Source organism: Homo sapiens, chromosome X (genome assembly GCF_000001405.40).
Source record: "Homo sapiens chromosome X, GRCh38.p14 Primary Assembly".
Taxonomy (NCBI): domain Eukaryota; kingdom Metazoa; phylum Chordata; class Mammalia; order Primates; family Hominidae; genus Homo; species Homo sapiens.
In genome coordinates, this window is record NC_000023.11 from 56,713,649 (window position 1) to 56,732,963 (window position 19,315).

Below are 19,315 nucleotides of genomic sequence, written 5' to 3' on the forward strand. Positions count from 1 at the left end.
TTCTCTCTCTAATCACCAACCTTGGGAAAAGCTAGAGCTTCCAGCAACCTTGTAGAAGGGTCCAAGTGGCAAGAGATCAAGCCTTGAAATAATCATATGAGTGAGCTTGGAGGAGGATCTGCCACCAATCTAGCCTTCAGATATGACAGCAGCCATAGCTGACAGTTTGACTGCTACCTCATAAGAAACCTAGAGACAAAGAAACCCAGCTGAGCTGCACCTGAATTTCTAAGCCACAGAAACTATGAGATAATAATGTTGGTTTCTTTAAGCTGCAAAACCTGGTTTATTTGCATCTTCCTCTTATTTTTGCCTAATCACACCATCCATTAATACAATCAACTAATTCCCTTGCTGTTAGTCCACACATACTGATGTCCTACTGATTATAAATGAATGAATGCACTATTCAGATATTGGAAATCTGTTCAGCAAATGTATTTCTCAATGGAATCACTAACTTTGTAGTCTTATTTATAGGTTGCTCACTTCATTTGCTTGGAGTTAGTCCTAGAATTCAATCAGGTGTCCTAAAAATGAAGTTTTTTTGATATAGAAAGATGAGGGCTAAATTCTGATCCATGAAACCATCATCAATGTTAGCCTCTGAGATGCTGCATTTTAATATCATTCAGAGATTGCAGCTCTAGAATTGATAGAGCAAACAAAATGATATCATCAAGCAAAAAGCCTGCCTTGTGGTGATACATGTGTTAGTAAAAAAAAAAATACAAAACTTAAAAATAAAGAGAAGATACGTTCTTTAAATAAAGCATTGTTAAATAGGCCCACCAAATTATTTAATTCTCTCAGTGAATGTACATAACTTTGACTCTGCTATTTGATGTCAGTTAGAGCCTAGACTCTGTGAGGTTACATGTTAACTTGCAGACTTTAGTCTGATTATAAACATTACCCCAAAGGTTATAGTTTATTGCCCTGTAGGATATTAAACAGTGTTGTATTTAATAACAGGCTTATTTTAACGTTATTTTTTCAGTGACTATAAATACCCAGTTCTGCAAATGTCCTCTGAGGCAGCTTTATCCTGCACAGAGGCAAACACCCTGGCACCCACTAGCACCCTGCTACAGCCAATGAGTGTGCATTATGCTGTGCTTCCAAGGCTGTACTGATGACATGTGTGAACAAGGATGGATCCTGCTGTCACTGCACTATAAAATGCTTTGGGTAATACCATACAAGAGCTCCTGAAGGAAGCACTAAATATGGAAAAGAAAGCACATTACCAGCAACTACAAAAACACACTCAAGTACATAGACAAGTGACATTATAAAGCAACCACATAAACAAGTGTGCATAATAACCAGCAAACATCATGATGACAGGAAAAAATCCACACACATCAATACTAACCTTGAATGTAAATGGTCTAAATACATCAATTAAAAGGCACAGAGTGGCAAGCTGGATAAAGAACCAAGTCCCATTGGTATGTTGTCTTTAAGAGACCTATCTCACATGCAATAGCACCCACAGGCTCAAAATGAAGGAATGGAGAAAAATCTACCAAACAAATGGAAAACAGCAAAGCAGGGGTTGCCATTCTAAAACAGACATTAAACCCACAAAGATCAAAAAAGGCAAAGAAGGGCATTACATAATGGAAAACAGTTCAATTAAAAACGACCTAACTATCCTAGATACATATGCACCAAATACAGGATCACCCAGATTCATAAAGCAAGCTTTTAGAGACTTTTAAAGAGACTTAAACTCCTACACAGTAATAGTAAGAGACTTCAACACTTTACAGACAGTATTAGGCAGATTATCAAAGCAGAAAATTAACCAAGGTATTTAGGACCTGAATTCAGCACTGAATCAAATGGACCTGATAGACATCTACAGAACTCTCCACCCAAAAAGAACAGAATACACATTCTTCTCATTGCCACATGGCACATACTCCAAAATCAATTACATAATCAGACATAAAAAATTCCTCAGTAAATGCAAATGAACTGAAATTATAACAACTAATCTCTCAGACACAATCAAATTAGGAATCAACATTAAGAAAGACACTCAAAAAAAAAATACACTCAAAACCATACAGTTATATAGAAATTGAATAACCTGTTCCTCAATGACTTTTGAGTAAATAATGAAATTAAGGTAGAAATTAAGTTCTTTGAAACAATGAGACAAAGAAAATAGCATACCAGAATCTCTGGGACAAAGATAAAGCAGTGTTAAGAGTGAAATTTATAGCACAAAATGTCCTCATCGGAAAGTTAGAAAGATCTCAAATTACTAAGCTAACATCACAACTAAAAGAACCAGTGAACCAAGAGGAAACCAACCTCAGGGCTAGCAGAAGACAAGAAATAACCAAACTCAGAGCTGAAGAAGATTGAGACACGATAAATTAATCAAAAAATTGATCAATCCAGGAAGGTTTGTTTGGAAAAAAATAATAAGTAGACCACTAGCTAGACTATTAAAGAAGAAAAGAAAGAAAATCCAAATAAGCAAAATTAGAAATAAATAAGAAAATATAAACATTGACTGCACCGCAATAAAAACAACCATCAGAGAATACTATGAACACCTCTATGCACATAAACTGAAACATAGAAAAAAATAAGTTCCTGAACACATACACCCTCCCAAGACTGAACCAAGAAGAAATAGAATCCCTGAACAGAACAATAACAAGCTCTAAAATTAAATTAGTGATAAATAGTTTACCAACCAAAAACAGCTCAGAAACACATGAATTCACAGCTGAATTTTACCAGATGCACAAAGAAGAGCTGGTATCATTTCTGCTGAAACGGTTTTGAAAAATTGAGGAGGGACTCCTCCCTAACTCATTCTATGAGGCCACCATTATTCTGATACCAAAACATGGCAGACACACACAGACACCAAAACAAAAAAACAAACAAACAAACAAACAAACGCTTTAGGCCAATATCCTTGATGAACCTCAATGCAAAAATCCTCAATAAAGTATTCACAAACCAAATCCAGCAGCACATCAAAAAGATTATCCACCATGATATAGTAAACTTTATCCCTGGGATGGAAGGTTAGGTCAACATATCAACATACGCAAATCAATAAATATATTTCATCACATAAACAGAACTAAATTCAAAAACCACATGATTATCTCAATAGATGCAGAAAAGTATTTTAATGAAATTCAACACCCCTTCTTGTTAAAAAAAAAACCCTCAATAAGCTAGGTATTAAAGAAACGTACCTCAAAAATAAGAACCTTATATTACAAACCCACAGCCAAAATTATACCAAATGAGCAAAAGCTGGAAGCATTCTCCTTGAAAAGTGGCACAAGACAAGAATATCCTCTCTCAATCCTATTGAACACAAGTTTGAAAACCCTGGCCGGGGCAATCAGGCAAGATTATAAAATAAAGGGCATCCAAATAGAAATAGAGAAAGTCAAATTATGCCTGTTTCCAAATGACATGATTCTATATGTAGAAAATCTCATAGCCTTGACCCAAAAGTTTCTTCAGCTGATAAAGAACTTCAGCAAAGTCTCAGGATACAAAATGCATGTACACAAGTTACTACCATTTCTATACCTCAACAACAATCAGTCTGAGAACCAAATCAGGAATGCAGTCCCATTCACAATTGCCACAAAAAGAATATAATATCTAAAAACACAGCAATCCAGGGAAGTGAAAGATCTCTACAAGAGGAACTACAAAAGACTGCTGAAAGAAATAAAGGATGACACAAACAGATGGAGAAACATTCCATGCTCATGAATAGGAATAATTAATATCATTAAAATGGCCATACTGTCCAAAGCAATTTATAGATTCAATGCTATTCCTATTAAACTACCATTGACTTTTCTTCACAAAACTAGGGGAAAAAAGCTGTAGGCATCTCATTACCTGACTTCAAACTATTCTACAGGGCTACAGTAACCAAAAAAGCATGGTACTAGTACAAAAACAGACATATACACCAATGGAACAGAATAAAAAACCTAGAAATAAGACTGTACACCTACAACTATCTGATCTTTGACAAACCTGACAAAAACAAGCAATTGGGAAATGATTCCCTATTCAATAAATGGTGCTGGGATAACTGGCTAGCCATATGCAGAAGATGAAAACTGGAGCCCTTCCTAGTACCATATACAAAAATTAACTCCAGATGGATTAATGACTTAAATGTAAAACCTAAAACTATAAAAAACCTGGAAAACAACTGATATAGTTTGGCTGTGTCCCAGCCCAAATCTCATCTTAAATTGTAGCTCCCATAATTCTCACGTGTTGTGGGAAGAACCCAGTGGGAGATAATTGAGTCATGGGGGCAGTTTCCCCTATACTGTTCTGGTGGTAGTGAATAGGCCTCACAAGATCTGATGGTTTTATAAGGGGAAACCCCTTTCACTTGTTTTCATTTATCTCTTGCCTGCCACCATGTAAGACTTGCTTTTCACCTTCCACCATGATTGTGAGGCCTCCTGAGCCACGTTAAACTGTGAGTCTATTAAGCCTCTTTTTATTTATAAATTACTCAGTCTGGGGTATGTCTTTATCAGCAGCATGAGGACAGACTAATGCAACAACCTAAGCAATGCCATTCTGGAAATAGAAATGGGCAAAGATTTCATAACGAACATGACAAAAGCAATTGCAATAAAACAAAAATTGACAAATGGGATGTAATTAAACTAGAGAGATTCTGCACAGCAAAAGAAGCTATCAGCAAACAGATGACCTACAGAATGAGTGAACATTTTTGCAATCCGTGCTTCTGGCAAATGTCTTCTATCAAGTATCTCTAAAGAACTTAAACAAATTTACAAGGAAAAAAACAATCCCATTAAAAAGTGGGCAAAGGACAGGAACAAACACCATTCAAAAGAAGACATGCATGTGGCCAGCAAACATATTTTAAAAAGCTCAACAAAAGATTTATAAAAATGGCAGACAGAAGGGCGGACTAAATTGCAGCTCCCAGTTAGATGGACAGAGCAGCATGTGGAGACTCACATTGTAAACTTTTGCTCCAAGAACTACTGTGGGAATACCAGGAAAGCTGTGAGAATTAACAGACCCTTTGAAAGAAGCAGACTGCTTCTGCAATACTCAGAAGACAGCCCAAGTACTCTGAGTGCCCAAACTGTGAGAGTGGGAAACGGGAATTGTTTGCCCTTGAATACACACCCTCACTGGGGAACCTGAAGGTTCAGATAACAGAAGAAGGATTTGACCTTACCTGGAGCTGAGACAATCTGAAGAGCTGAGCAAAATACAAGGTTAGAGGAGGCAGCAGGAAAAGCCCTGTGGGCTCTCTGGGTACCCAGAGAAGCCATTTCTAACTTGTCTCACAGGGGTCCTTGGGGAGCACTGCCAGAGAAACTGGGAAAAAAAAACACAGAAAGAAGAAAATCTCCAGCTAGACTTTATGACAATTCCAACCAAATTCAGTTTCCTGGCCAGAACTTAGAAGAGGGCATGAATCGGTTGTGCAGACTTGACAGATGAGGAAGCACAAAAGCCCGGCTGAATGAAACAAGTTTTCAGCCTTCCTTGCCCACTGCCTAGAAACAAACTCAGTGCTGTGGAGGGTGGGGGGAACGGTGGGAGTGACACCAGCCTTTTGGGTTGTGTGGATCCTAGGTGACGCCTGTAACTGCCAGCTTTCCTCCACTTCCTGGACAACCTGCATGACACAACAGAGGCAGCCATAATTCTGGGAACATAGCTCCATTGACCTGGGAACCACAACCTTACTCCCCACAGCAGTCAAATCAAGCTCTGCCCAAGGAGAATCTGAGCTCAGACAGGCCTAACCGTGGCTCCACCTGATGGTCCTTCCCTACCAATGCTGGTAGCTGAAGACAAAGGTCATAATCTCGTGGGAGTTCTAAGGCCTTGCCCACCACCTGATCCTCCCTTATACTACCACAGCTGATCCTCTCTTGAAAGCACCACCTCCTGGCAGGAGGCCAACCAGTACAAAACTAGTGCATTAAACAACTACAACTAAGGAGCCTCACAGAGTCCAGTTTACTCTCTTGCCACCTCCACTGGAGAAGGTGCAGGTATCCACAGCTAAGAGAACTGAAGATGGTTCATATCACAGGACTCTGCAGACACCCCCCAGTACCAGCCCAGAGCATGGTAGCCCTGCTGGGTGGCTAGATCCAGAAAATAAATAAAAATTAATACAGTTCAGCTCTCAAAAAGATATATCCCTAGGAAAAAGGGGAGAGTATTACATCAAGGGAGCACCCCAGAGGACAAAAGAATCTGAAAACCAGCCTCAAATCTCAGATCTTCCTTCAGACATAGCCTACCCAAATGACAAGGAACCAGAAGAATAATTCTGGTAAGATAAAACAAGTTCTTTAGCAACCCCCCAAGAATCACACTAGCTCACCAGCAATGGATGCAAGAAGAAATGGAACCAAGAAGAAATCCCTGAATTGTCAGAAAAAGAATTCAGAAGGTCGATCATTAAGCTAATCGAGCAGACACCAGAGAATGGTGAAGTCCAACTTAAGAAAATCTTCAGTGAAATGGATAGCATAAACATAAAACAACCACAACTTCAGCAAGAGAGGAAAAACTTAGAGAAATGCAAAATGTACTGGAAAGTCTTAGTAATAGAATCAAACAATCAGAAGAAAGAACCTCAGAGCTCGTACACAAGGTTTTCAAATTAACCCAATCCAACAAAGACAAAGAAAAAGAATTTTTAAAAATGAACAAAGCCTCCAAGAAGTTTGGGATTATGTTAAATGACCAAACCTAAGAATAATTGGTGTTCCTGAGAAAGAAGAGAAATTCAAAGTTTGAAAAACATATTTGAGGGATTAATCAAGGAAAAGTTCCCTGGCCTTGCTAGAGATCTAGACGTCTAAATACAAGAAGCTCAAAGAACACCTGGAAAATTCACGAAAAAAAGATCATTGTCTAAGCACATAGTCATGAGTTTATCTAAAGTAAAGATGAAGAAAAGAATCCCAAGAGCTGTAAGGCAAAAGAACCAGGTAATCTACAAAGGAAAACCTGTAAGATTCACTGCAGGTTTCTCAGCATAAACCCTACAAGCTAGAAGGGATTGGGGCCCTCTATTCAGCTTTCTTAAACAAAACAATTATCAGCCAAAAATTTTGTATTCAGTGAAACTAAGCTTCATAGATGAAAGATAGATACAGTCTTTTTCAGACAGACAAATGCTGACAGAATTCACCACTACCAAGCCAACACTACAAGAACTAGTAAAAGGAGCTCTAAATCTTGAAACAAATCTTGGCAACATATCAAAACAGAACCTCTTTGAAACATAAATTCAACAGAACCTAAAAAACAAAAATACAATAAATGAATAAATAAATAAATAACCAAGATATTCAGGCAACAAATAGCACAATGAAGAAAATAGTACTTCACATCTTAATGTTAACGTTGAATGTAAATGGCCTAAGTGATCCACTTAAAAGATACGGAATTGCAGAATGGGTAAGAATTCACCAACCAACTATCTGCTGCCTTCAAGAGACTCACCTAACACATAAGGAAACAAATAAACTTAAGGTAAAGGGATGGAAAGAGATATTCCATGGAAATGGACACCAAAAGTGAACAAACTTTAAAGCAACAGTAGTTTAAAAAGACAAAGAGGGACATTTTATAATGGTCTTGTCCAACAGGAAAATATCACAATCTACATATGTGTGAATCTAACACTGGAGCTCCCAAATTTATGAAACAATTACTACTAGACCTAAGAAATGAGGTAGAGAGCAACACTATAACAGTGGGGAACTTCAATATTTCACTGATGGCACTAGACAGGTCCTCAAGACAGAAAGTCAACAAAGAAACAATAAATTTACAGTATATCCTAGAATAAATAAACTTAAAATATATTTACAGAACATTCTACCCAACAACCACAGAATATACATTCTATACATCAGCACATGGAACTTTCTCCAAGATAGACCACATGATAGGCCACAAAACAAATTTCAATACATTTAAGAAAATTGAAATTAAGTCAAGTATTCTCTCAGACGACATTGAAATAAAATTGAAAATCAACTCCAGAAGGAACCCTCAAAACCATGCAAATACATGGAAATTAAATAACCTGCTCCTGAATGATCATTGGGTCAACTATGAAATCAAGATGGAAATTAAAATATTCTTTGAACTAAATGATAATAGTGACACAATCTATTGAAACATCTGGGATACAGCAAAGATGGTGCTAAAAGTTTATAGCCTTAAATGCCTATATCAAAAAAGTCTGAAAAAGCACAAATAGACAATCTAAGGTCACACCTCAAGAGAATAAAAAAACAAGAACAAACCAAACCCAAACCTAGTAGGAGAAAAGAAATAATGAAGATCAGAGCAGAACTAAAAGAAATTGAAACAAAAAAATTCAAAAGATAAATGAAACAAAAAGCTGGTATTTTTAAAAGATAAATAAAATTGATTGACCATTAGCAAGATTAACCAAGAAAAGAGAGAAGATCTAAATAAGCTCAATTAAAAACAAAAATGAGAGATATTACAACTGACAACACAGAAATACAAAAGATCATTCAAGACTACTATGCAAACATTTACGTGCACAAAGTAGAATACCTACAGGAGATGGACAAATTTCCGGAAATATACAACCCTCCAAGCTTAAATCAAGAAGAATCAGAAACCCTGAAGAGACCAATAATAAGCAGCGAGATTGAAATGGTAATTTTAAAAATTACCAACAAAAAAAGTCCAGGAACAGACAGATTCACAGCTGAATTCTATCAGACATTCAAAAAAGAATTGGTACCAATCCTATTGACACTGTTCCACAAGATAAAGAGAAACTCCTCCCTACATCACTCCATGAAGCCAGTATCACCCTAATACCAAAACCCGGAAAGGACATAACAAAAAAAAAGAAAACTACAGACCAATATCTCTGATGAGCATAGATGCAAAATTTCTTAAGAAAATACTAGTTAACTGGCCGCGTGTGGTGGCTCATGCCTGTAATTTCAGCACTTTGGGAGGCCGAGGCAGGCTAATCACGAGGTCAGGAGATCAAGACCAGAATGGCCAACATGGAGAAACCCCGTCTCTACTAAAAATATAAAAATTAGCCAGGCGTGGTGGCAGGTGGCCGTAATCCCAGCTGCTACTCAGGAGGCTGAGGCAGTAGAATCACTTGAACCCAGGAGGAGGAGGTTGCAGTGAGCCAAGATTGTGCCATTGCACTCCAACCTGGATGACATAAGCGAAACTCTATCTCAGAAAAAAGAAAGAAAGAAAGAGAAAGAAAGAGAAAGAAAGAAAGAAAGAAAGAAAAAGAAAGAAAGAAAGAAAGAAAGAAAGAAAGAAAGAAAGAAAGAAAGAAAGAAAGAAAGAAAATAGTAGCTAACCAAATCCAGCAACATGTCAAAAAGATAATCCACCATGATCAAGTGTGTTTCATTCCAAAGATGCAGGGGGATGCTTTAACATAGGCAAATAAATAAATGTGATACACTATATAAACAGAATTAAAAACAAAAATCATATAATCATCTCAATAGATTCAGAAAAAGCATCTGACAAAATCCAGCACATCTTTGTGATTAAAACCCTCAGCAAAATCGGCATACAAGAGGCATACCTCAATGTAATAAAAGCCATCTATGACAAATCCACAGCCAACATAATACTGAACAGGGAAAAGTTGAAAGCATTCCATGAGAGAACTGGAACAAGACAAGGAAGCCCACTCTGACCACTTCTATTCAACATAGTACTGAAAGTCCTAGCCAGAGCAATCAGACAAGAGAAAGAAATAAAGGGGATCCAGAGTAATAAAGAGAGAGTTGAACTGTCACTGTTTGCTGATGATATGACTGTATACCGAGAAAACACTAAAGACTCCTCCAGAAAGCTCCTAGAACTGATAAATGAATTCAGTAAAGTTTCAGGATACAAGATTAAGTACACAAATCAGTAGCTCTGCTATACACCAACAGATACCAAGCTGAGGACCAAATCAAGAACTCAACCCTCTTTACAATGGCTGCAAAATAAATAAATAAACAAACAAAATACTTAGAAGTATACCTAACCAAGGAGGTGAAAGTCCTTTACAAGGAAAACTACAAAATACTGCTGAAAGAAATCATAGATGATACTAATAAATGGAAACACATCCCAGGATCATGGATGGGTAAAATCAATATTGTGAAAATGACCATACTGCCAAAGCAAGTACAAATTCAACGCAATTCCCATCCAAATAACACCAACATTCTTCACAGAAAGAAAAACCAATTCTAAAGTTCATATGTAACTAAAAAAGAGCCCACATAGCCAAAACAAGACTAAGCAAAAAATACAAATCCCGAGACATCACATTACCTGACTTCAAACTATACTATAATGCCACAGTCACCAAAACAGCATGGTACTAGTATAAGAATAGGCACAGAGACCAATGGAACAGAATAGAGAATCCAGAAATAAACCCGAATACTTACCCCCAACTGATCTTCGACAAAGCAAACAAAAACATGAAGTGGGAAAAGGGCACCCTAATCAACAAATGGTGCTGGGATAATTGGCAAGCCACATGTAGGAAAGTGGAACTGTATCCTCATCTCTCAGGTTATACAAAAATCCAATTAAGATGGATCAAGGACTTAAATCTAAGACCTGAAACTATAAAAATTCTAGAAGATGGCTGGGTGCGGTGGCTTACGCCTGTAATGACAGCACCATGGAGGCCAAGGTGGGTGGATTACCTGAGGTCGGGAGTTTGAGACCAGCCTGACCAACATGGAGAAATCCTTTCTCTACTAAAAATACAAAAAATTAGCCGAGGGTGGTGGCGCATGCCTGTAATCCCAGCTACTCGGGAGTCTCAGGCAGGAAAATCGCTTGAAACCGGGTGGCAGAGGTTGCAGTGAGCCGAGATCACGCTATTGCACGCCAGCCTGGGCAACAAGAGCAAAACTCCGTCTCAAAAAAAAAAATGTATATATATAGAAGGTAACATTGATAAAATCCGTCTATACTTTGGCTTAGGCAAAGAATTCATGACCAAGAATCCAAAAGCAAATGCGACAAAAGCAAAGATAAATAGGTTGGACTAAATACAAAGATAATAGGTGGGACTATTAAAACAAAAGCCAAGATAATAGGTGGGACTATTAAACTAAAGAGCCTCTGCACAGCAAAAGGAAGAGCGAACAGAGTAGACAGACAACCCAGAGAGTGGGAGGCAGTCTTCACAATCTATGCATCTGACAATGGACTAATACCCAGAATCTACAATGAAATCAAACAAATCAGTAAGAAGAAATAACAAAAAATCCCATCAAAAAGTGGGCTGAGGACACGAATAGACAATTCTCAAAAGAAGATATACAAATGGCCAACAAACATATAAAAAACTGCTCAACATCACTAATGATCAGGGAAATGCAAGTCAAAACCACAATGTGATACCACCTTACTCCTGCAGGAATGGCCATAATCAAAAAATCAAAAAAATAATAGACGTTGGTGTGGATGCCATTGAAAAGGAACACTTCTACAATGCTGGAGGGAATGTAAACTAGTATAAACACTATGAAAAACAGTGTGAAGATTCCTGAAAGAACTAATAGAAGAACTACAATTCGATCCAGCAATCCTCCCACTACTGCATATCTACCCAGAGGAAAAGTCATTATACGAAAAAGATACTTGCATATGCAAGTGTATAGCAGCACAATTCACAATTGCAAAACTATGGAACCAGCCCAAATGCCCATCACACGAGAGGATAACAAAATTGTTATACATATATATATATATGTGTGTGTGTGTGTGTAACAATATTGTTATATTGTTATATATACATATAACAATATTGTTATATTGTTATATATACATATAACAATATTGTTATATTGTTATATATACATATAACAATATTGTTATATTGTTATATATACATATAACAATATTGTTATATTGTTATATATACATATAACAATATTGTTATATTGTTATATATACATATAACAATATATGTATATATACATATATAACATATATACACATATATACACATATACACATATATACACATATATATAACATATATACATATATACACATATACACATATATGTATATACACATATACACATATATGTATATATACACATATATGTACATATATGTGTGTACATATATGTGTATATATACATATACACATATATGGGTATATAGACACATATGCATATATATATTTATACATATATACATATATATGTATAAATATATACATATATATGTATAAACATATACACATATATGTATAAATATATACACTATAACAATATTGTTATATATATGTATAACAAAATTGTTATATATATGTATAACAATATATGTATAACAATATATGTTATATATATAACAATATATGTATTGTTATATATATATAACAATATATGTATTGTTATATATATATAACAATATTGTTATATATATATGTATGTGTGTGTGTGTGTGTGTGTGTATATATATATATATGATTGAATACTACTCAGCCTTAAAAACAAACGAATTAATGGCATTTGCAGCAACCTGGACGGAACTGGACAGTATTATTCTAAGTGAAATAACTCAGGAATGGAAAACAAAGCATCGTATGTTTTCACTCATAAGTGGGATCTAAGATATGAGGACGCAAAGGCATCAGAATGATAAAATAGACTTTGAGGACTCAGGGAACGGGTGGGAGGGGCATGAGGGATAAAAGACTACAAACTGGGTTCAGTGTATACTGCTCGAGTGATGGGTGCACCAAAATCTCACGAATCACCACTAAAGCACTTACTCATGTAGCTAAATACCACCTGTTCCCCAAAAAACCTATAGAAATAAAAAAATTTAAAAATTAAGAAAATTTTAAAAAGAAAAGCTAATTTTCAAAAGAAATCAAATTAATCACCCAACTTCTCAATTTAAAAAACTAAATGAAAACCATTTACTATCACTCAGAGGTGGGTTTAGTTTTATTTTCTATTGTCATCTTTTGATCATTGTAAATTATGAGAGTTGGATCTGTAGCACTTCTCAAATTGGCCTCTATGTTCCTCCAACCTAACAGTGCCCTCTTCTGGCTTCATGATTCACATTCAGCTGGTTCACTGATGTTGAAAAAAAAAAGATGATGGAAAAAAAACCTGTTTTGAAACCTGGAATAATAAAGGCTTTAGATCTCCGTTTTAATATAATGAAAACAAACAAAATTCCAGTTGCAAGTATAATGGTGGTTTCCAGCAGCTGGAAGGAGGGTAAAATGGAGAGTTGTTTGATAGGTATGGAAAAGTTCTCGAGATTGGTTGTACAACAATGAGAATATACTTTACCTTATTGAACTGTACACTTAAAAAATGTTAAGATGGTAAAGTTTATGTTATGTATGCTTTACCACAAAGCATATAAACAAATAAATAAATAAATCTAATTGTGGTATAAATAGTCAATGTTGATAGAAGCAACTCTAAGTTGGGACTGTTTTCACCTCAAGTCAAATGTTTACCGTAAATTAAACCTAGCTGGAGTTGATAAAATTTTTAATTCCTGTTACTTTACTAACGAGGCACATATTTCTCTTAATTTGCTAAAACTATAGCTATAGAACGACTTAACTGCAACTCTTAATGTCTTTAGTCGTGAAGATTTAGAGACCTATGTAAAAAGACTGTGAAATTGTTACTTCATTTACTTGAATAAATAATAAAATATTCTTCAGTTTCTAAAAATAAAGACTCCAAAGTTTGACTTGTATATCTGAGTGGAAGGCATAACATTTCACTGAGATGAAAGAAAAAAAAAACTAGGAAAGGAGCAAATTTGGTGGATTAAGGATAGACCAATGGTTCTCAACTGGGGACAATTGTGTACCCGAGGGGACATCTGGCAATGTTTGGAAATCTTTTTGGTTATCACAACTTGAGGAGTAGGGAGTAGTACTGGCATATAGTTGGTAGAGGCTTAGCTTAGGACATTGCTAAACGGTAAACTCTGGCAACCACTACAAAGATTGATTTGGCCTCAAATGTCAATAGCACCAAGATTGAGAAACTCTGGGTTAGAATCTTCTTCGCTGACTTTGACCACTCTTTCTCAGCCTTTGCAGCAGACTTCTTTTCTTCTATCTGTCTCTAATTACTCAATATTCTGTTTTTAGCTCAATTATTTTTCCTTTAGATTTTCTCTTGGGGATATAATCCATTCCCTTGTCTTTAACTATCACCTCTATGTTGCTGTCTCCCACATCAGTATGTCTAGTTCCAACTACTCTTCTAGCTCTAAAATATTGCCTCTCTCAATGCCTCCCTCACATCTTTTCATTAAGCTACAGCTACATCTGACTTTTCTGTCTTTATTAGTAGCATTTGGCACAAAACCACGGGGTCATTTATTTCCCAAATATTTACTGAGTACCTAATTTGTGTAAAGGGCTGTGCTGGTTACTTGGAGGAAGGTAGAAGGGTGGAGATAAGAGATAGTTATAGTAGTAAATGCTTTACATGTATTATCCCTGGTTATGGAAACACCTTTGCAAGGAAAAAATTATGGCCTAGAAACCAAAGTTCCAAGAATTTAAATAATTACTCAAAGAGCTCAGAGCTTGTAAACAGCAGAGTTTAACAGGCACTTCTACTCTGGCATTAAGGACTAAGCTCTCTCCATTTAAAAAAACAAAAAACAAACAAAAAGCACTGAGAACAAAGCTGAAGAAGTGTGATCTAGTTTGTCCATAGCTAAAGGGAGATGGATGTGTAGGCTATTTTAATAATGAAGGTCTAAGAAGTTCCAGAAGCCTTTTCTTCTGAGACACGTGGTACTTTCTTCTGGTTACCATAAATCATAGAATATAACATATCATCACTAGTAAGATGGGTCATTATTTTCCATACCTACAAGAAAGAAAAAAAAAAGCTGCCAACTAAAGTATAGTGTACCATCAATTGTTAGGTCGCAGAGATTTCCTAGATATTCAAATTTGGGGAAAAACATAATAAGCCTTCAAAAATTACAAATTTGCTTAAAAAATAAAGAAAAAATGATCTTAGATTCTATGACATACGGTGAATTCATTTTCCACATTCAATTTCCATGGTTTGTGCTAGTGTGCTATTCTGCACTCTAGTCAACTTACATGTTTGCATATTGCTTTTTAAATGTTTGTAGCTAGTTTCACAGCTCTGTGATGTGCATCTGCAGCTGGCTTGTAAAGCTCTTCAATAATTTATTTGGTTACCGCCCACCCCCGCGTCCCTCCCACACATATAAGCCATTCAGAGTTTACCACTTAAAGGTAAACTTGAATTTCTTCTCATCTTAAAATTGCATAAATTATATTAAATTCTCAATAAATTTATTTACATTTAGTGGGGGTGGGGCGCGATGGAAAAACACTATATTAAATAACGACATCGGTTTTTAACACCCATCCTAATAGAAACATTAAAATAGAATGGGGTAGGGAGGAGGGGTGGAGGCGGAGAAGGGATGTACGTCTCAGGATACAGGAAATACGGTAAGAGCGAAACAGGAGGAAGCCAGCTCTGTGCCTGGAGGGGACTCGCCGCCATCTCAGGTCTCTTGGCTTTGCCAGGGCCCACCGGAGAAAACTGACGACCCGTTTCTGTAATCCTTATGGGAGACCAACCTTGTGCCTCCGGGAGATCCACTCTCCCACCTGGAAACGCACGGGAAGCCAAGCCTCCAAAAAAGCGCTGCCTCCTCGCTCCGCGTTGGGATTATCCGGAAGGAACTCCCAACGGAGGTAGTACCACTCTACCCTCCGCACCTCCTCCTGCATCAGCCGGCCTGAAGTCGCACCCTCCTCCTCCGGAGAAGTAGAGAAATAAATTTCTCCCACCCTAAACCAGGTCAGATTCTTTCTCATCTAGGACATCTAGGCTCTTTGAAACTTATTTATGCATTCTCACAAATTTCCTTCCCCTTTTCCCTGTTCTTTCCATGATTTCAAAATAGAAAAAATAACATGCAGGGATTAAGCAGCTCTTTCACAAAATATGCTTGAATGAAATGATGGATATTTAACGACATTAAATAATTATTTGTAATATTTTAGATGAAATAATTGTAGTTATATTTTCTAAGAAATAGACTTGAATCTTTTGATTTGCTTGAAAGTAAGTCATTGGTGCCAAGGTGGAGGGAAAGTGTAATAAAAATGCTCATGAGTTGATAATTTAAAGCTGGGTGATGTATATGTAGGGATTTATTATATTATTCTCTCTACTTTTGCGTGCATTGGAAAATTTTTTTGTTAAAAAAAAAAAGGCTGGTTCAAGGCCAATAAAAAGCATCTGTTGAAGGCCAGCCTTCAGAAGTGTATGTCTTTCTCTGTGTAAGGCAGGAGAGTTGAATTTTTTTTTTTAAAGCTACAATGTGATAGTCAAATCCAAGTGCCATAATGTTTGCTTGTTCAAGGTATTCAGGAAGGGTGGAGGATGGACCAAGTCACTGCCTGGTAGTAATCATGAGCCATCAAAAAGGAGGAGTAGGGGGGCGGACGCGGTGGCTCACGCCTATTATCCTAGCACTTTGGGATGCCGAGGTGAGCAGATCAGGTCAGGAGTTCGAGACCAGCGTGGCCAACACGGTGAAACCCCGTCTCTACTAAAGTTACAAAAATTAGCCAGGCGTGATGGTGGACGCCTGTAATCTCAGCAACTCGGGAGGCTAAGGCAGGACAATCATTTGAACCTGGAAGGCAGAGGTTGCAGTGAGCCGAGATCGCGCCATTGCTCTCCAGCCTGGGCGACAATAGCAAAAAACTACGTCTCAAAAAAAAAAAAAAAAAAAAAAAAAAAAAAAAAGGAAGGAGGAACTTTGGGTGGGCCTTAAAGGTTGAGTGACATCTGCCATGTGGAGGGGCAGGGAATGCTTTTCAGGCCGAGGGTTTCCAGAGAAAAGGCAGAATTCTTCTGGAAACAGCTTGGCTATAATTTTGAATCTACAAGAAGGACTAGGAGGTGAAGATAAAGTGCTTCAGGGCCTTAAATGTTATGCTGAGCATATACTTCATTCCAATATCCATCAAGTGCTACTATTTGTATTTTAAGATTCCTATTCTTACTATCAGAAAAGGAATCTCTGATATTTAGATGAACTTTATAGAATGCAAATTATAAAACTGAATCTGACCCAAGTTTTATAGATCCTTTTAATTCAAAGGAGAGAAGCATCTTTTCTTCATTCGTGCAGTAAACCTTTATGAAGCCCTTGCAATGGGTAGGAATTATTCTGAGAGCTGTAGGGGATGGATGGCCAAGGCATAGTGCCTAGTACATAATAGGAGTGAAACAGATATTTCAATAAATAAATCAATGAATGATGGGACAACTTTGGCGACCAAAAAAGTTTTAGACATTGGGTTTGGTGGTAATGCATAGAAAAAAAAAAATAGAAATCTATTTTACTTGAAAGCATCTCCCTGTCATTCCATACAGTTTTACTTCTCACATGTTTACCTCTATTCAAAGGGGTAGTGGAGTGGAAGGTTGCAGGGAGTAGGGAGAAAATTGCTCAGATAGAAAACAAAAGAGCAGCCGGGCGCAGTGGCTCACGCCTGTAATCCCAGCACTTTGTGCCGCTGAGGTGGGCAGATCACCTAAGGTCAGGAGTTCGAGACCAGCCTGGCCAATATGGCGAAACCCCATCTCTACTAAAAGTAAAAAAAAAAAAAAAAAAAATAGCCGGTCATGGTGTTGTGTGCCTATAATCCCAGCTACTCGGGACGCTGAATTAGGAGAATCGCTTGAATCCAGGAGGCAGAGATTGCAGTGAGCCGAGATCATGCCACTGCACTCCAGCCTGGGCGACAGACCGGGACTCGGTGTAAAAAATAAATAAATAAATAATTTTAAAAAATAAAAAGGAAAAAGAAAAGAAAACAAAAGAACAAAACAATAAGTGCAGTAGCTACATAATTTCCCCTCCAAGTGATTCAAATCACTGATAATTGTAATAATAGCCAATATTTACTGAAGATTTATGTGCCAATTTTCTAAAGGGCTTTGCATGTTATAATTTATTTAATCACAACTCTACTAGAGAAGTTTGTATAGACCAAGGGAAGTTGTATGACTTGCCACAAGTTACACAGCAAGAAGTAGCTGAGCTGAGCTTTGAACCCAGAACACCTGATTCCAGAGTTTATGCTCTAAACTTCTATATAATACATCCCTTCTAATACTATGTATACAACTGTTTTATAGGAATAAATCATTGAAATAGAGGTATGGGAAGGATAATGATTTGAGGAGACCAAGGGACAAAGAGATGGACAAAAACAGAAAAAATGATGCCACAATATTTTTTACTATTTTTCAGTCTTTGAGTGATTGCAGTATGACTCCATTTCCCTGGTGCATTCATATAATAGTTCACCTGGTGAAAACAATGAAGATTATTTACAATGCTACCCTGCTTTTTCTGGTGTCCTGAACCTGGAAGTTGTGCTTTTTAAGGTAATCTCTTTACCAAAAATTATTAAGAGGAGGAAGAGAAAAAAAAGAGTTGGTTTTGACACATTAAAAAGTAGCCAAACAAAACTCAAAAAGATAGCAGCAAATGATAAAATTGAAACTATATTCTACATTATATGAAAACATATTCATAATAATAGTGTAATCTGAAGAAATGTTTTGTTAGATTCACTTGTACTTATAGTTTCTATTATTACTGTGAAATATATCATCTTTTTAACTACATTTTCTAATTGTTTCTAGTAAATGGGAACATGATTGATATTTTTGTATATTTATTTTATATGCTGGAGCCTTCTTAAATTCTGTTTATTCTAATAATGTATAGATTTTCTTGGATTATCTGTTAATTAATTATATTTTGAATAATGACAGTTTCTTTACAATATTTCTTTACCTTATATTACTGTGCTAGCTAGGATCTTCAGTACAAAGAGGAACAACAGCATTGGTAGAGGATTTCCTTATTTTGTTCCTAAATTCTACAAAAGTTTCACCTTTTTTAGTAGATTGTCTTTCTCAAGTTAAGGAACTTTCTTAATGTTCCTAGTTTGCTGAGAGGTTTTATTACAAATATTATGAAGTTTTTTCCCGTCTATATGTACTGCCACTTTCATATCCTTTCTTCACCATTAATATCACAGTGTGACCATGTGATAAATTACAATAATCAATTTTCTAATGTATTTCTTGCTTTTGCTTTCATCGAGCCTCGTCATTGGATATTTGGTTCCTATTTTAATCAT

At 36.5% G+C, this 19,315-nt stretch overlaps 1 protein-coding gene across 1 annotated transcript in view, besides 1 other annotated feature; it reads left to right on the forward strand.

Moving 5' to 3' along the window:
• NBDY (negative regulator of P-body association) overlaps nucleotides 15,595–19,315 on the forward strand; it is an 89,937-nt gene continuing 86,216 nt past the window's right edge. The window contains exons 1-2 of the mRNA NM_001348129.2: nucleotides 15,595–15,941; nucleotides 18,415–18,551. Of these exons, the coding sequence (NP_001335058.1) occupies nucleotides 15,706–15,912 (207 nt within the window). The 5' untranslated portion in view covers nucleotides 15,595–15,705 and the 3' untranslated portion in view covers nucleotides 15,913–15,941; nucleotides 18,415–18,551. The remainder of the gene's footprint in view (nucleotides 15,942–18,414; nucleotides 18,552–19,315) is intronic.
• Nucleotides 15,636–15,715: an enhancer, noted in NCBI's record as "active region_29689". NCBI's record gives its function as "activates an Ori minimal core promoter by ATAC-STARR-seq in GM12878 lymphoblastoid cells {active_cell/tissue: GM12878}" and the evidence as "EXISTENCE:reporter gene assay evidence [ECO:0000049][PMID:35858748]".